At 39.6% G+C, this 19,471-nt stretch overlaps 1 long non-coding RNA gene across 2 annotated transcripts in view, besides 1 other annotated feature; it reads right to left on the reverse strand.

Annotated features, from left to right (window-relative positions):
- LOC105374660 (uncharacterized) overlaps nucleotides 1-18,723 on the reverse strand; it is a 184,231-nt gene extending 165,508 nt beyond the window's left edge. Inside the window, exons 1-3 of one of the 2 annotated variants that reach the window (XR_001742606.2) lie at nucleotides 18,396-18,723; nucleotides 18,066-18,162; nucleotides 14,965-15,041 (exon numbers count right to left, since the gene is read on the reverse strand). This is a non-coding gene — a long non-coding RNA (uncharacterized LOC105374660). Of the gene's footprint in view, nucleotides 1-14,964; nucleotides 15,042-17,933; nucleotides 18,163-18,395 lie in introns of both variants that reach the window. The other variant, XR_007058696.1, reaches the window with a different exon arrangement.
- Nucleotides 5,577-6,776: an enhancer, noted in NCBI's record as "P300/CBP strongly-dependent group 1 enhancer chr5:13567313-13568512 (GRCh37/hg19 assembly coordinates)". NCBI's record gives its function as "activates an origin of replication core promoter dependent on BRD2, BRD4, P300/CBP, MED14 and CDK7 cofactors, with strong dependence on P300/CBP, by STARR-seq in HCT116 cells {active_cell/tissue: HCT116}" and the evidence as "EXISTENCE:reporter gene assay evidence [ECO:0000049][PMID:35650434]".
- Nucleotides 18,724-19,471: the final 748 nt, after the last annotated feature.

Below are 19,471 nucleotides of genomic sequence, written 5' to 3' on the forward strand. Positions count from 1 at the left end.
TACCCAGTAATGGGATTGCTAGGTGAAATGGTATTTCTGGTTCTAGATCTTTGAGGAATCATCAGACCATCTTCCACAACTGTTGAACTAATTTACATTCTCAACAACAGTGTAAAAGCATTTCTATTTTTCTGCAACCTCACTAGTATCTGTTGTTTCTTGACTTAAGCCATTATCCTCAGCAAACTAATGCAGGAACAGAAAACCAAACACAACATGTTCTCTCTTATAAATGGGAGCTGAACAATGAGAACATGTGGACACGGGGAGGGGAACAACACACACTGGGGCCTGTGGGGGGATGGGTTGAGTGGGGAGGGAGAGCATTAGGAAAAATAGCTAATGCATCCTGGGCTTAATACATAGGTGATGGGTTGCTAGGCGCAGCAAACCACCATGGCACACTTTTACCTATATAACAAACCTGCGCATCCTGCACATGTACACCAGAACTAAAAATATTTTTTTTTAAAAAAGAGCCCAAATAAAGAACCACACAAATATAATTAGTAAAACTTGGACAAATGAACAAAGGCAATTCAATGAAGAAAAAGTATATTTTTCAACAAATGTTATTAGAACTACTAGATATCCTTATGCAAATAATGAACCCAGAAAAAGAAAGACCCTATGACTTTTACTTAAATTAACTCAAAATGGACCAAAGACCTGAATGTAAAATGTAAAACTATAAAATTTTTTGAAGAAAACACAGAAGAAAAATCTGTATGACCTAAGTTTGATGATAAGTTTATAAATGCAAAACCAAAAATATAATTCATGAAAGAAAAAACTGATAAATTGTATTAAAATTTAAAACTTTTAATCTGCAAAAGACACTCTTAATAGGCTGGAAAGACAAGCTATAAACTGGGAAACAAAAATTGCAAAACATATCTGTAACAAACCTATCCGAAATATAAAAAGAGCTCTCAAAACTCAACAATAAGAAAAACAACAACCCAATTAAATAATGAGCAAAATATTTGAACAGACACCTCACCGAGGAAGATACACAGGTGGTGAACAAGCATACAAAAAGATGCTCAACATCATTTGTAATTACGAAATCAAAAATTAAGGCAAAAATGAGATGCCATTAACTAAACATCACCTATTATTATCGCTAATTTTTTTTAAATAACAACACTAATTGCTGACAAGAATATAGGGAAAAAGGAACTCTTATTCATTTCTTGTGGGAATGCAAAATGGTACTTCAGAAGACAGTTTGGCAGTTTCTTACAAAGCTAAACGTGGTATTAACATATGACCTAGTAATCGCACTCCTAGATTTTTACCCAAATGAATCAAAAGCTTATGTCCACACGAAAACCTGCACATAAATGTTTATAACAACTTTATTAATGATCACCAAAAACTGGAATCAAACAAAATGTACTTTAATAGGTGAATGAAATAAACTGATACATCTGTACAATGGAGTATTATTCATATGACACATAAATCTTAAATGCATATTGCTAAGTGAAATAAGTCAGTCTAAAAAGTCTACATACTACTGTGTGATTCCAATTACATGACATTCTGGAAAAGGTAAAACTGTAGGGATTTTCAGAGATTTGGAAGGATAGGGGAGAGTTGAATGGGTGAGCAGAGGGAAATTTTTTAGGGTGGTGAATGGATTACTATGATGCTACAATCATGCATTCATGGTGCTACACATTTGTCAAAATCCATAGACTTTAACAGTGCAAAGAGTGAACCTTAGTTTATGCAAATTTTAAAAATATCTTTTAGAAAGTGGGGGTATATCAGGATGGAATGAAGAATGTGACAAAATAACTCTATCAAAAATACATAAAACCACTTTATTCATTGAGGTGAGTTCAAAAGGTGCTGACCTAAGTAACATCGGAAAAGAGTGAGGTCTGTAAAACCTAAAGACAAAGGAAACTGCAGGTAAACACCACACTCTAATTGACAAAGCTTTTTTCCAATTGCAGGGTACAGATTCATAACACTAATAATGCTATATGTTTTTACTGGAATTGAAAAATTAAGCACATGGGTGGCAGATGGTGAGACCCAGGTCTCTCACTATTGAAGTGGGAACTTACAGACAGACCAGAGGAAGAGGATACAGTGATCTATGTGGTAATAAATTAGAGCTTAAACTCATGTTTAGCTTAATAAAGGTACAGATTGTTAAACATGGAAGTCCTTATAGAGATGTGTGTATAAATGGACTGGTATACATGTATTTCCTTGTTCTGTTCAGCTAGGAAGGCCTAGAAGCAAGACACCTCAAGGAGCAGTGAGCACACCTACTGCCCAGATATTGGTTTCTAATCCCATTCACCAATGAAAGGAACCAGGAACCCTTAGGAAAAATAGCTGATTCAACTAATAGGATAGAAATATACAAGATGAGCCTGAATCATCTTATAGTGATGGAAAGTAGGGAAGTGCTAAGCTATATATGTGTGTGTATATATATATATATATATATATATATACACACATACATACACACACATACACAAAATGGCCAAAGCTAAAACAACTTGAGCAACAAAACAAAATAGTATTAGTTTATAATCCAAAGAATAAAGTGAATGTCCATGAGAAACCTCAGAAACACTACCTTTAGTTAGATGATCCAAGTTAACATCAACAGTGGTAAGTGATATTGAGAGTATGCACTGTTGGTATGATGTGCTAAAAAATGGCACTTTACCTGTATTGTCTTCTCCAAAAAAACACCACACAATCCAAGTCGAATTACAAGAAAAACTTCACACAAATCCCAACAATTAATAATGTAGATTATAATAAGTAGAATAGTGGAACATTCTGCAACATAACTAGCCCAAACTCAAAACTTTCAAGGTTATTGTTATGGTTAGGCTTTGTGTCCCCACTCAAACCTCATCTAGAATTGTAATCCCCATAATCTCCATGTGTCAAGGGAGAGACAAGGTGGAAGTAATTGAATCATAGGGGTGGTTTCCCATGCTGTTCTCTTGCAAGTGAGTGTGTTCTTACAAGATGTGATGGTTTTATAAGGATCTCTTGCCCCTTCACTTGGCACTTCTCCTTCCTGCCGCCTTGTGAAGCAGGTGCCTTGCTTCCCCTTTGCCTTCTGCCATGATTGCATGTTTCCTGAAACCTCCCCAGCCTTGCTGAGCTGTGACTCAATTAAACCTCTTTCCTTTATAGGTTACCTAGTCCCAGGTAGTTGTTTATAGCAGTATGAAGATGGACTAATACAGTTATCAAGAGCAGGTAAAGTCTCAGAAACTTTCTCAGCCAAGAAAAACTTAAGGAGACAGGATAACTAAGTGTAACTTATATTGGGTGGGATTCTGGTATGGAAAATGGATATTAGGGGAAACATTAAGAAAATCAGAATAAAGTAGGACTTCAATTGGTAGTAACATATCAATATTGGTTCATTAATAAGAAAAATTTACCAAACTAATATAACATATTAAGAATAAGAGAAACTGGGTGTAGGGTATATGAGAACTCTATAAACCCTTTAAAATTTTTATGTAAAACCAAAATTGGTCTAAAATTAAAAGTTTATTTTTTAAAATAGCACTAAAATTGATAAAAAAATATATTTTACTCTCCATCTTATGCTATTTGATATAGTTTGGCTGTGTCCCCACCCAAATCTCATCTTGAATTCCCACGTATTGTGGGAGGGACCTGGTGGGAGGTAATTGAATCATGGTGGCAAGTCTTTCCCGCGCTGTTCTGGTGATAGTGAATAAGTCTCATAAGATCTAATGGTTTTAAAAAGAGGAGTTTCCCTGCACAAGTTCTCTCTCTTTGCCTGCTGCCATCCATGTAAGAGAAGACTCGTTCCTCCTTGCCTTCCTCTATGGTTGTGAGGCTTCCTCAGCCACATGGAATTATAAGTCCAATTAAACCTCTTTCTTTTTTAAATTGCGCAGTTTCATATATGTCTTTATCAGCAGCATGAAAATGGACTAATACACTATTCTTTTCAATTGGTTCCAACTCAGGTGTTTTATCTACCCCCACTATTCACCATCAAACCCCAACACTCATCTCTACAATGGGGTCTATTTTTGTCTTTGGTGCCTATGATTGAGGAGAAGGTGCATTTCTTAGGACTGGCTTCTGAGGTACTACCATTCCAGAGATGTTTCCTAGAGCTCAAGGAAGTGAATATGCCTTTGTGTTGAAACTTAGGGCACTACTTGCATTCTTAGTTAAACCAGGAACAGTAAATCAACAAATTTTAGTTATCAAACTATAAATTAAAATGGAATATACAAAAAGTTAATATAGAATACAGAAACTTGGCCAGGCACGGTGGCTCATGCCTGTAATCCCAGCACTTTGGAAGACTGGGAGGGGCAGGTCACTTGAGGCCAGGAGTTCAAACAAGCATGGCCAACATGTGAAACCACATCTCTACTAAAAAAAAAATAATAATACAAAAATTATCCAGGCATGGTGGCATGTGTTTGTAATCCTAGCTACTCAGGAGACTGAGGCAGGAGAATCACTTGAACCTGGAAGGCAGAGGTTGCAGTGAGCCAAGATCATGCCACCGCACTCCAGCCTGGATGACAGAGCAAGAATCCATCTCAAAAAAAAAAAAAAAAAGGAATAAAGAAATTTGGTTTTTCTGAAACATTTCAGTTCATTTATCATTCTAATAATTCTTGTGTTCCATTTTAAGGGACTAGACAAAAAAGCTGAAATTTTAATCACCACTCTATTTTGATACAAATATTTATGACACTATGGTTTATTCAGTGGGTATCTAAGTTTTTTAAAAGAAATGTTTCAACAAATTTCTATTACTTACCTCATTTTAATATCTGAAATTTCTTGTAGTTCATTAAAGTTAAGTCAATGTGCCTGTGGTACCACTTTATGTTTATGAACAATATGAACATGCCCAACTGCAAAAATTGTGTAAGCCACTTGATGCTGAGTTTGTGGTTGATGACATTGGATTTTCTTATAACAATCAATGACATGAAAGATATTCCTCAAGCTCAGTGGAGAGGAAATTCTGAAAAATTCTCCTATTTCATGCTATTATTAGGCTTATAACATCCTTTCTTTACACAAGTTCTGTTGTTATATCTGTCATATCTTTCCTTGACTTGCATGGCTGATTTTTTGGAAGAAAAAATATTCATTAAAAATGCATCTAAATGACATATCCTAAGCTAGAAAAACTACATCATTTTCTCTCAGATCTAGAGACTAGCACAATTGCTGTTTATTTCTTGCTTTAAAAGACTCTCATTACTATGGACAGCCATGTGTCAGTTAGAACATTTGTTGAGAATCACTGGTAAGAAATCATCTAAGCTGTTGACTAAATGCTGATTCATTTGTTACTCAGCTGCAAAGGAATCACAGCCAACTGGTGATTATTCAGCTCTTTAGTTTAGCAAATACCTGAGCACCTACTTCTGTACCACGTGCTCTCACTATATCAGAGAGCAGAGGTCAGCAACGGTCTTTGCTAAAGGGACAGACAGAAAATATTTCAGGCTTTGCGGGCCATAAAAAAAAAAATCTGTCACAATTGCTCAACTCTGTTGCATCATAAAAGCAGCTAGAGAAAATATGTAAAACAATGGATGTGGCTGTATTGCAATAAAACTGTATTTACATCAGGCCTGATTTGGCCTGTGAGCTCTAGTTTGCCAGTTGCCCTCATGGAACAGGGAGAATGGGACAGAGAATTGGGATGGCAGAAACTGCTTACTCTTTGAAGTCTACAATGTACTTTGTTTCTTTCTCTGCCTGGAAAACTCCTTTTCATTTTTCCATGCTAGCTCACATATTCTTTTCTTCCATGAAGTTATTCTCAGATTCACCAGATAGTTTTCTGGATTTTCACTGTACTATTATGACTACTAATTTTCAAATCTGCTATTCTTGCTAAACAATGGGCTCCTTGGGAAAAAAAGCACCTCTTTGACCCAATTAAAGGCATATTGTATACAATATGGCCAGTTCCCTTGGAGTTGAGCAACTTGGTGGCCCTTTTTGGGGACAGGAAAAATATCTCATCTCTGTATCCTCATCATAGTAGAGTGTCATCATTTAATGAACAAATAAATATAAGGAAGAAAGTGATAAGAAAAATAAACAACATGTTCCATGAACTCAGAAGAATTAGAGAACGCCTTCAACTGGAGAAATGAGAGAAAGGTATACAGAAGTCTGAGTGAGGATATGTAAAGCAGGAAATAGCATCTATTGTAGACCCTGTGTATAGCAGGCAGCCTCCAGCATGGCCTACAATGATCCTTGCCTCTGGATATTCATGCCCTGTGCATTCTTCTCATGCTTTTTGGCTGAATATAATGACATAATTACTTACTCAGAATGAATAACATAGATGTGGTGAAAGATCTCTTCCAAGATTAGATTTAAAAGATACTGTGACATCTGCTTTGATCACTCTCTCCCTCAATCACTCTGAGAGAAACCAGGTGACACATTGTGGGCTGTCTCATGGAAGGGCCTTATGTAAAGGAACTGATGTCTCCAGTGTCAGCCAATCTCCAGCCAGGACCTGAGGCCTTGCAGCAGTCACAGAAGGGAGCTTGGAAATGGAGCCTTTATGAGTCCAACCTCAAGATGATAGAAGCTCCAGCAGATACCTGGATTGCAACCCTGTGAGACACTCTGAGCTAGAAACACCCAGCTGTCCTGCTCTGGGTTTCTGACTCAAAGAAACTCTGAGGTAATAAATGGGTGTTCTTTTAAGCTGCTAAATTTTGAGGTAATTTGCTACACAGCAATAGATAACTAATACATGATGTTAAGTATTTTAGATACATTTTCCCATTAAATCCTCACAATAAACTTACATAGTACACAATTAGTCAATTCTACTGATGCTATGGTTTGGATGTGGTTTATCCCTGCCAAAACTCATGTTGAAATTTGATCACCTGTATGGCAGTGTTGGGAGGTAGGACCCAGTGGAAGGTGTTTGGGTCATGGAATGGATGGATCCTTCATAAATCCTTCTTATGGGAGAGTTCTTACTCTTACAGGACTGGATTAGTTCCTATGAGAGCAAGGTGTTACAAAGAGTCTGGATTCCTTGGTTTCTCTCTTCTGCTTCCTCTCTCTCCATGTGATCTCTGTGCACATGCCTGCTCCCCTTTCACATTCTGCCATGAGTTGAAACAGCATGAGGCCCTCACCAGATGCAGCTGCCCAATCTTGGACTTTGCATCCAACAGAATTATAAGCAAATAAGCCTATGTTTTTTATAAACTACCCAGCCTGAGATATTTTGTTTTAGCAACACGAGATGAACTGGGACCTCTGATAAGGAAATAAAGGCTCTGGAGACTATAGAGTCTGTCCAAAAATGCCTGGTTAGTAAGTAGCAAACATGCTATTCAAATCTTTGCTCTTTCAGTCACCACACACCAGGATAGGCATGAAATAAGTGAAAAAATGAGGCTAGAGAAAGAGATTGCCCTAAAAGTCACCATGCAAAGTCTGCTCTATTTCAGGAGACCCTGAAAAAACATCAGTGATTTTGTCCAGTTCACCATACAAGCAAGACCTATATAGCATGTCATCATGAAATCAACTTTTTTAAGGAGTCTCTCACTATCTCTTTAAATCTGCTCAGTAAGACTATCCTCCTTCTCTGGAAAAAAAATGCTGAGTCTCATTTTTGGTCAATCTTAATTGATAGAAATGGTTACTTTGTCCCAGATATAATCTTAATTCAGTGATTAAGTTTATCAGATTTAATACACTGGTCAATCCTTCAACCCTCATTCAGATGTAATGCCTTGCCCTTCTTTCAGCAGCAGATGGGCTACTGGGTGCCTGCAGGCAGCATGCAACTGACCTTTTATTTCTACCTCATGATGAACAGCTGTCTCACTTGCCAGCTGGTATTTCTTGTCCACCAGGATTGAAGCGGGTAGCAGTGGGAAGGAAGAACATGGTGGTTGGAAAAACTCATCCTGTCTAATACTGTTGTGAGAAGGTTTCGTAATTTCTGGACCTAGAAACTACTTGAAGTTGACTTCTCACATACTTTCTTCAGAGTCTCCTGTGCCCCCACCCACTCCCGACTGCCTGCAACAACCTTGACAGAACCTGGATCTTGCCTTCAACCAGCCTCTCCTCATCCCCAGTCAGCTTTTATCCCTAGCAGTGTTCTTCACACAACTTTACTTGGGTCCCTCCACTCCAACATCTGCTCTCTGGAGCGGAATCCCCTTTCAAATCATCCCAGACTCATGTTCCTGCTGAAGGGGCTGTGCATTGGCATCCTTGGTGTAGCCCTTTACTAGGTTGCAAAACACTGCCTCAGCTTCCTCTTGCAGGAGCTAGGGATCATCCTGAAGTATCCTTCAACTTCAGGGAACATGTAGTTCCCCCCATTGAAGCACCCCTGTTTAGTCTTGAAGATCCACCCATCTCCGCTGATTGCCAGTGGGTAGGGCTCACAGCACAGCTCTTTCCAATAATATCCTCAAAATCATCTCCCAACTTCAATCTCCCAACTCACCAAAACATTCCTTATGGGTGGGGAATATCAGATTTATGAAGCTGACTCTCAGATATCTCCTTTGAAAATCTGTTTCTAGTCTAGTATATTGCTGAAATTTCAACTTTAACATCGAGTTATAGCACAAGCAGAGTTTTGCTTTAGGGGGATTCATCTCGTGTATGTGGGTGAAATTGAAGTTGGAAGGCACTGAGGGAGGGAGACAAAATAAGCAGCTATTGAAAAATCTAAGCTACAGACAACTCAGGGCTGAACTAGGGTAGTTGTAGTGGGAATGAGTATAGAAAGCTTGTTTCAAGAGTCATGGATGAGGTAGATCAGTAGGAACTGAATTAATGTGAATAGAAAGAGGGGCTTGAGAGCTGGAAGGAAAGTTTGGTCAATAATAGAAACCAGAATTCAGAAGGAGTGTATTTGAAGGGATAAATAGGCTGATCAATCATGTCGATCTTTAAGCACTCTTGCCAATATGAGGTGAAGATAAACATCAGTGAATTAGAAAATGGGCCTTAGAATTCATTAAAATAGCAAAATCATCTGCATGGAGGTAATTATTGAACCCCTAGCAGTCACAAGATTAATGTTACAAAGTAGGTAACAGTAGAAAATGACTAAGAAAGGGAGAAAATGTTCTTTCTCTTTGAGATAACAAGAATTCTCAGAAAAGTGAAAACCCAGGAAGAAAGCAGGGCTTTAATGGAGAGGTAGTCATTAGAGTCAAAAGCTAAAGACAGGTTAAGGAAAAAAACCTCCTGAATATAGCCCTCAGGAAGACGTCCATCATCAGAAATGTTTCAGTGGAGTTATTGAAAGCCAATTCCAAATTCCAAGGGTCAGAGATTGAATGAATCCTTAAGAGGTGGAGGCAACAAACATAGATTTATATTGGGGAATTTGTTAGTGAACAAGAAGAGATCTCTAGAGAAGATGAAAGAGTCTAAGGGACATTTTTAAATAGGGATATTTGAACACATTTGTAGGTAGAAGGGGAAGAGCCAGTGAACAGAAAGTTATTCACTGAAGCAAAAGAGAAGGGCACTACCAGGGAATCAGGATCCCCAAAGCTGTGCAGCAGGACGGAAGGACAGGCACAGGGTAACGGGCTGGCCTTACAATTACAGACAAGTGCATCTCCTAAACTAAAAGGAAAAAAAATGTGGGGAGAAAGCTCAAGACACAAAAGAAGAAATTTGAGAAAGTCCAAATTAAAGGGTTTCTTTTTTAACTTTCAATAAAGTAGCAGGTGTGGTCATCTGGGAGAGTGAGGAGATTAGGGGTTGTTTTCTTGCAATGAGTAAAAAATTTCAGAGCCTTCACTGTGTGGGATGGAATTTTTTAAACACAAAATTAATCAGATACCAATAAAAGATATTTCATAAATACTGAGGGTTCAATGGAAACTAACCTCTTCTTCCTCCACACTAACTCCATATTAATATCAATTTCTTTTTTCAAGGTTAACTAATGGATATTAGGCTGTGACTTTCTCTGAAAGTGCTTGTCAATTCAAGTAGAAGAGTGGAGAAAGTAGATAAAGAATTACCCTGGGCAGGCATTTGGCAAAGTAGTTGTGGATGTAGGTCAGGGTGGGGAGAGTGTGACCTCTAAGTGGCTATCCAACCATTGGTCCTGAAAGCAGACAAGGAGGATGAGGTAAGGTGAAGTTCAGCCCACAGGGATGTCAGATGGAGATGGAAGGACAACAGGTAAGGACCAGAAAGTAGAGTCCCGAAAGAAGGGGTCAAAGTCTTTCGATGTTGGTGGAATCGAGAGCTGAGAAACAAACTGAGAGTTACCAAATAATTAGGAGACCAGAGAAGGCTTAGGTTGTTTATTGTGTGTGTGGCTGCTGGGAAGGGGAGCATAACTCCTCATATTCCACACCCCCGCAGGTGGTCTTCCATTACTCCGCCCCACGGGTGGTGCTGTGACTTTCCTGATTGCTCACTTGGGAAGAAAAAAGTGGAGTGCTTAGGTCAGCTTCTACCCTTCCCCTCTGGGGCACTAGCTACCCTGAGGAAATGTGTCATCTCTGCCACTCTTCCACAGTTGAGGTACAGCTGGAATCAAACATTTTCTGCAACTGGCCAGTTAATTGTAACCGGTTCTGTGGTTCTGGTCTATTTGACCCTCACGCCAAGCTACATGTTCCAACTTGGCAGTTATCAATTATTTTATTTTCCATGGTTCACTTGAGAGGCAGGAGAAAGAAGTGAATTTTTTTATGGATGCATCTGGGGACTGTTAACAGCCTACTGAGACCTCCTGACATCTGGAATTCTTCTGGTTTATTTCAGTTAGAAGCTGAATCTAAAAGAGAACCCCACTTAAACACTCTCCTGTTCCTTTCCAGCCCCACTTCATATACGCCATGTGCTTAATCTGAGGGTCACGGCTGGTTCTCTGATGAACAGCCAGCCATGGGCAATGCAGGATATCAAAGCCAGCCACGAAGAGTCAGCTGGATCTAATTCTACTTGCTAAGGAAAGTTTGCCACTGACAGAAAATTATCATTCTTGGTTTTAAAAATGTGTAAAGAAGGATAAAATTGGTCATATTTTTGTCAGAAGAAAATATTAAGGTCTAGCAGGATAACAAAGAGTAGACTCAAGAAATTTAAATTTGGTGTAGTAGATAAAAAAGAAATTCTCACAACTTAAAGCCAAGTTCCCTGGTTAAGTCCCAATTAGGCCCTTGCTTTGGTTGCACAGGTGGGTAAATATGCAATCATTGCAGTGGCCATTGCCCCAGCTCCATATAAGGGAACAACTTTATGATTGTCTAACTACAAAGGCATAATTTCCAATCCCATGCTTACATTAAATTTACATTATACGTGTAGTGTTTGAAAATTCTGTTTTTGCCAATGAAATTGTCTCCATAGTAACTAATGCACTCCTAAAGGGGGAAAATGTGCACCAATTTTGCACTGAAAAGGTAAAAATTAAACTAAATAACAACAGATCATGGCCATTTCATTAAAAGGTTTTTTTCTCACAAATGGTATTACAAAGCTCACATGCTTCTTTGAAAAATAATATCCTCTTCCCCATCCTTGTGCCTTCTCACTGAAAGGCATATGATAGATCTTTGAAGAATGCACTGAAAAGACTCATCAAGAACCCCCTAAGTAAATGAGAGTGAAGGTAGATGATTATAAGGCATACTATAACTTAAGTGGTATTTTTTATGAGGTTCTATTATAATAATAATTTCCACCTCATGTATAAGGGAAGCACCTAAACAGAATTATATTTAGGTTCTAAAATTATATTAAATTCTATTTAAGCTCTAAACTTCAGGTAGCTACAAGAAATCTTGGATCACAAAAAATTATATTCATCATATACCAGTGAATATCTATGAATTAATTCCTTTGCCATTAATTTGTTTTGCTGCTGTTTCAGTTATAACAAAATTTTTGAGCAAATACTTAATTGAGCTTATTAAACCATTTTTTTCTCTTTAGTCATGTTGAATCACTGTAGTGTGAAAGGTAAAAGTGAATTTATAAATTTTCATTTAAACATGTATTATTATTAAAACAAGGGAGGCAGGGCAAAGGCTAGAATTTAGTTTTAGTTAATTGAACGTGTCCTACTCTAAGAGCCTACAATAAACAGATAAATTTAGCACTAACACTGAGATTTCTTAAAACCTAGAGTCTTTCTACAGCTAGATATCGATATCAATCCTGTCATTTGATCTTCTTACTGCTTTCTATGTGATGTCTTTTTCTTGCCATTTAGAAATAATATTTCCAATAAACATTGAAAGCATTATGCTTTATGTTTTCTGTAAACCACCGACTTTGAAATCAGTGGAATAAAGTCATATATACTTTCTAGTCATCTCTCCTATTGGCATCCGTAACAGGAATATGAACAATGTGAAATAAACAGAAATAGAGGAAAATAAAATTGTATCTCAAAAGGTGTGAAAATATCACCTTTCTTTTATGAACAATTCTAGAGTAAGGCAGAGTTCTTTAAACCAAATATTATAGTTGTAACTTCAGACAGTAAAGCAACAATAAAATAATACAACACAAAGAGAAATTAGATGTAGATACTCAACAGATGGATGACACACAGATGTTCCTAGAACAGCTGCTACAACAATAATACTTGAACAGTCTTTCAGAAAATTTAGGAGATTACTTTTCATTTCTTCAATGAACTGTATTTAAGATTTAGATCTAATAAATATTGCCACTGCATTCCAACATGTGCCTATTAGCCAATCTGAAGTATAATAAACTGAGCATTCATTTTTAAATGTTTGCAGCTTATAATGGCAAACACATTCAACCTCATGGTCACTGCTGTCATTATCAGATTATGTCCCTAATTGATCACAAATGGCCATAGCTTTCCCAAAATAATTCTATCCCCAAATGTTGATTACTATATACAGCATTCATTTGGAATGATAAATGATTTCCAGTGCCATGTGAAAACCGTGTACCTTGGCTCCTCTTTGGGGTAACCCAATCCATCAGAAATCCAGCCAAGCCCAGAAGACATTTTGGGTTTTGCCACGCATGCTAGAAAACTGACAGCTGATTGAGGACCAAGGCTCCATTTTAATGAGTCTCCCTGGTGTTGAATCCATCACTGCCAGACTAACAAGTATCAAAACTTGGCACCCACCATTAGAAATTATTTAACCTAGAAGTCTGCACAGTGTAAGGGTTGAAGAGCTGCCAGCCTTGAAGTTTGTAATAATAAAAACTTGCTTAACTAAGCCACATGACCAAGTGATACATCTGTCTCACCAATAAGAGCCCTGAGGATTGAAGCACTAAACACAGGTTTTTCCATACTTTTAGCAACTGTAAGTAAATATTTAAAATGTTCTTTTGAATTCCCAGGGTCCAAATACTGGGTACAGAAACAAAGCATTTAAGCCAGGCACAGTGGCTCAAGCCTGTAATCCCAGCACTTGAGGCCGAGGCAGGTGGGTCACTTGAGGTCAGGCGTTCAAGACAAGCCTGGCCAACACGGTGAAACCCTGTCTCAAACACAAAAATTAGCCAGGCATGGTGGAACATGCCTGTTGTCCTAGCTACTTGGGAGGCTGAGGCAGGATAATTGCTTGAACCCAGAGGGCGGAGGCTGCAGTGAGCCGAGATCCCACCTCTGTACCCCAGCCTGGGTGACAGAGCGAAACTCCATCTCAAAAAAAGAAGAAAGAAAACATTTAAATCTATAAATGCAAGTTATTTGTGTGAACAATCATTATTTATAGAAATGAATGTAGGTATAGCCAAACAGCACAGGCCTACCCAGGATGGTCTGTAGCCTAAAACAAAATTGACTCTTTATCACAGGACCAACAATTGTGAATGGCCTTATGATGAAAGAAGGTCACCCACCCATGCGAGGCCTGGTCTCTAGGGTACATGGAGAGAAACACACTGGTTACCAATATGCGTGTGTTTCTCAACATGTCCCAGTCCCCTTGCGGTTAGCAGGACGTAGGTGCCTATTCTGGACAATGAGTCCTGTGTGGGAATGAAGTGTGCCACTTCTGGAGTGGGTGTGGGTTGTCCATGTTCTCTTCCTCTGCTACAGTGATCCATTTTTTGAGATGCCAATGTCACAAAATGGTCGTGTCTCTGTAGGCCTGGGTCTCTAACCACCACCACCAACCCTCACTGAATGTAGCATAGGGAGGAAAAGTTTGCATGTATGGCCACTGAATTACTGAAATGAATTTGCTGCTGCTATATCGCCTAACCTTACCTTGGCAGAGAATACTAAGAATACCTAGTGACCCTCAGGCAAACAATGTAAGAGCAGAACAGTCTCAGTTACCAAAACAAGAAATTCCCTATGACTAAGAATAAGAATTTTGCCAAGGTGGGGGCACCTGGGGAGAAGGGTGTAATGTAAAAGTACCAGTAGAGGTCTTAATATCCCATCTTTCAACAAAAGGGATTTTTTTCTGAGACAGAGAGCCAAGCTGGCTAGCATAATTAATTTTAAATTTTAAATTGAAAAGTTTGAACAAGATTCATACAATGACCAATTCCCGGTTTATTGTTAAAATTATTAAGTAAAATACTAGTGAGTCGGTCCTCTCAGGCTGAGTCGATTCTCAGATCACGGTGGCCTCAGTGGAAAAGAGCTTCAGGTAGCAGGAGTTGGTTCCAGGCCAGATTCATGCTAAGCCTACCTCATCTGACTATCAGCATAGAATAACTCTCTTAGCCTTCTGTCCAAAAATTTTTCATAGAAATTTAATGTCTTCGGTATTGATAATAGACTATACCATTTGACGGTATTAATACAGCAGTACCACTTAATGAAAATCAGTTCATAAATTTTTTTGTTTGTTTCCATATATTTCATAAAACATACATTCAAAAACATTTCTGATTGCCTTTTGAAATACAGCAAACAGCAACATGTAAAAGTAAAAATTAGAATGTCTTTACCTACTGGCTTTGGTGAGGACAAAGGGAGGCCTCCATCTTTGCGCAAAAAATGTATCAATGTTGTTTTAGCCAATGAGCTTCAACGTGCCAAAAAAAAGAAAATAAGAAATAAAAAAGTGAATTTAGATTTAAACTTTGCCCAGATACAAATTGGTTTTGTTAAATTTAAAATTAGAATTCATCAAAACACCCACATTTGTCTTTAAAATATTAAACCAGCAATCTGACAGATGTGTTTTCTTTACAGATTTGATCTGTTATGTTATAGATAGAACCACATCCAGCTTTACTAACCAACATTCAGATGATTTACAAAAGAAGAGGAGGATCACCAATGAGGAAGGCATCCAGAGATTTATGAAGAAGAGGTATCTGATAAGAAACTGGAATTCCATATGGAATGAAGTCTCGTAGTCACAGACCAAATATTTTTTGGTCATATATTTTGGCCATTACCAAATTACCACCAAATGATTGACTCAAATTGATCCGTGAAGCAAATGTCAGAAGCTGCTTTCAGTTAGTTAAAACAGTGATCAATTTGCAAACAATTGAGTATTTGATATGAGTATTATTACACATAGACATACTAGATCTGCGTAAAAAATAGTTTGATTTAACTTACCTAGTCAACTAAATGTTTAAAATCATTTAAAGATTTTCTTTCTTGTAGTTTTTGCATGTTTTTGCAAAAAAGAGTTAAGTTCTTTTACTTTTTATGAATTAGTATAATATTTTATACCCCTGACTTTTAAGCTGAAATATTAAACCGTCAACTTTGGTTGTTGGAAATCTGACAGCAAATATATGCGCATGGTCATATACATCATATACACATGCGGCTTTAGAATACCATCCCACTTAAATCAATAGTGTAAAATTTATTGACCTAATTCTATCTTGAGAAGGGAAAATGAGCAGTGGTGCTTTCTTATGACTTATCATTTTTCATACAGAGTTTCAGATTTGTTTATGATTATAAAGAAATCTATCCACCTCATGTCAGACTGATAAACAAATAGGTCAGGGAATTACCAAGGGAAAGACATAGTTTTCAAAGAGCCTATAAATAAAAACATCAGAAAATATTTCATGTTTAAGGAATTCAAGAACATTAAATTATTTTAAAATCATACAGGTTTTTTTTTTCTAATTATCACAGTGTCAAATTACTTGTATGGGAAGAACTATGTTTCTGCATACATGCTGTGTGTACAGGCACACACACATATGTACACATTCCTCAACATGCCACAAGACTCTTAAGCAAAGTGAAATTAATTCAGCAGATGTGTTTTAGCATATCAGGAAATTATAATTAAATATGATAAAATAATAATATTAAAATATAATTAACTATCAACTTACATAATGAGGTACCTGATTGATTTGACCTTCTCACAGAATCAACATTCTCCACCATGTAAATGGGTCACTTAGTAACTATTTGTTGCAGTGATATCACTCAGCTTATGCTTTAAATCAATCCTGGCTCCTTCACCAGTCACCTGGCCTCAAAATCCAAGGTGGTAAATTGGCAAGTGGACCAGCTTGTTAACTTTCCTGGGACAGACACCAGGTCTTGGTGCCTCCGGCCAGGAGAGACATGGGGCTGCAACCCAAGGGCCAAGTAGAGTGAAAGACGAATCCAGATTAGAAACAGGATATGAAATATTATATGTGACAAGAAAGAAAGATAAAACAATGCTGGTTGAATTGGACAACCAGAAGAAGCAGCAAAGGAACAGAACTGGTAATAGTGAGAGGTGACAGAGTGCTGGCGGTCCTCACAGCCCTCACTCACTCTCGACGCCTCCTCTGCCTGGGCTCCCACTTTGGCGGCACTTGAGGAGCCCTTCAGCCCTTTCTGGGCTGGCCAAGGCCGGAGCCGGCTCCCTCAGCTTGTGGGGAGGTGTGAAGGGAGAGGCGCTGGCGGGAACCGCGGCTGAGCGCGGTGCTTGCGGGCCAGCGCGAGTTCCGGGTGGGCGTGGGCTCGGCGGGCCCCGCCCTCGGAGCGGCCGGCCGCCCCGCCGGCCCGGGCAGTGAGGGGCTTAGCACCTCGGCCAGCAGCTGCTGTGCTGAATTTCTCGCCAGGCCTTAGCTGCCTTCCCGCGGGGCAGGGCTCAGGACCTGCAGCCCGCCATGCCTGAGCCTACCCCCGCTCCGCCTCCGTGGACTCCTGTGCGGCCCAAGCCTCCCGGACGAGCGCCGCCCCCTGCTCCACCGCGCCCAGTCCCATCGACCACCCAAGGGCTGAGGAGTGCGACCGCACAGCAGGGCCTGGCAGGCAGCTCCACCTGCAGCCCGGTGCCGGATCCACTGGGTGAAGCCAGCTGGGCTCCTGACTGGTGGGGACTTGGAGAACCTTTGTGTCTAGCTAAGGGATTGTAAATACACCAATCGGCACTCTGTATCTAGCTCAAGGTTTGTAAACACACCAATCAGCACCCTGTGTCTAGCTCAGGGTTTGTGAATGCACCAATCAACACTCTGTATCTAGCTTCTCTGGTGGGGACTTGGAGAACCTTTGTGTGGACACTGTATCTAGCTAATCTAGTGGGGACGTGGAGAACCTTTGTGTCTAGCTCAGGGATTGTAAAGGCACCAATCAGTGCCCTGTCAAAACAGACCACTCAGCTCTCTGTAAAATGGACCAATGAGCAGGATGTGGGTGGGGCCCGATAAGAGAATAAAAGCGGGCAGCCCGCGCCAGCAGTGGCAACCCTGCTTGGGTCCCCTTCCACAGTGTGGAAACTTTGTTCTTTCACTCTGCAATAAATCTTGCTGCTGCGCACTTTTTGGGTCCACACTGCCTTTATGAGCTGTAACACTCACCGGGAAGGTCTGCAGCTTCACTCCTGAAGCCAGCCAGACCACGAAACCAGCCAGACCACGAACCCACCGGGAGGAACCCCACGGGGAGGAACGAACAACTCCAGATGCGCCGCCTTAAGAGCTGTAACACTCACCGGGAAGGTCCACAGCTTTTCTCCTGAGCCAGCGAGACCACGAACCCACCAGAAGGAATAAACTCCGAACACATCCGAACATCAGAACGAACAAACTTCGGACACGCCGCCTTTAAGAACTGTAACACTCACCGCGAGGGTCTGCGGATTCCTTCTTGAAGTCAGTGACACCAAGAACCCACCAATTCCGGACACGATAGGAGAGGTCTACAAGGCATTTCTGACTTCCCTAATACAAAAAAAAAAAACAAAACTGAATCCCAGGTAGGGAAGAACAGCCAGACTCCAAGTCCCTGAATAAAAGCTGAGAATCATGTTACCCTTAGGAATCACACTCCCATCGTAGTCATGTCTTTATGCAAAAAACAGAGGTGGGGTGTGATAGTTAATATGAGGTGTCAACTTGATTGGTTTGAAGGATGCCTAGATGGCTGGTCTGTGGACTGGGAGAGGAAGACCCACCCTCAATGTGCCTGGGCACCATGCAGTTGCTGCCAGCACGGCTAGAACAAAACAGGCAGAATAAGGTGGGAGAAACTTGATGCTGGGTTTTGTGGCTTCCTTCTTTCTCCCGGGCTGGAAGCTTCCTCCAAGCTCCTCCTGCCATTGGATATCAGACTCCAGGTTCTTTGGCCTTTGGACTCTTGGACTTGCACCAGTGGCTTTTCAGGGGCTCCCGGGCCTTGGGCCACAGACTGAAGGCTGCACTGGCAGCTTCCCCAGTTGTGAAGCTTTCAGACTTGGACTGAGCTGCGACTGGCTTCTCTCTTCCCCAGCTTGCAGAAGGCCTATCGTGGTCCTGTGCCTTGTGATCATGTGAGTCAGTTCTCCCTAATAAACTCCTTTTTATAAATACATATATCCTATTTGTTCTGTCCCTCTGGAGAACCCTAATACATGTAGGTTCTCCCTATTTTACATTATGGCCTGAGTAGAGATAACGCCACCTTTTCCTTGCTTCTAGCTGACACAAGGATGGAGTGTCAAAGAATTTGTAAGGTCTAAGGAGGGAAAAAATGGAAAGTAACATAGAGTTAATAAATTGCCATAAATTTAGGTAATCTAAGTTACCAGGTAAACCAAGACAGAGTCCCTTAGCCCTTTCTAATAATAGGTGGCTGCTGTCAGGAATATCTTTACATCTTCACAGAGATGCTGACTTCAACATTATGGTCCTCAGGAGGATTACTGCACCTAGCTTCATTGTCTTTTTCCATTTGAAAAGTAGATGAAGCTTTACTCTTTAAACAAATCCTACTGTAACCAATCTAATCTACATTGATTCTTTGCTCCTCTGACTTCTTAATCTGCACAATATGTATACACTCATTTTGACATTTAATTCTAGATTCTCCTAAATAATATTGTAATTGTCTAATTTATTTCAATGAGAAATGACAATAAGTTCTTTCTTTAAATTTCCCACACAGGACTCAGCATGTTGTAGGCATTCAGTACTCAATCACTTGAATTATATGAAATCTACATTCTCTGTGAAAAATTTACTTAAAATGTTTGAGCAAGGTTTAGCAAGAAGC

Source organism: Homo sapiens, chromosome 5 (genome assembly GCF_000001405.40).
Source record: "Homo sapiens chromosome 5, GRCh38.p14 Primary Assembly".
In the NCBI taxonomy this organism is placed as follows: domain Eukaryota; kingdom Metazoa; phylum Chordata; class Mammalia; order Primates; family Hominidae; genus Homo; species Homo sapiens.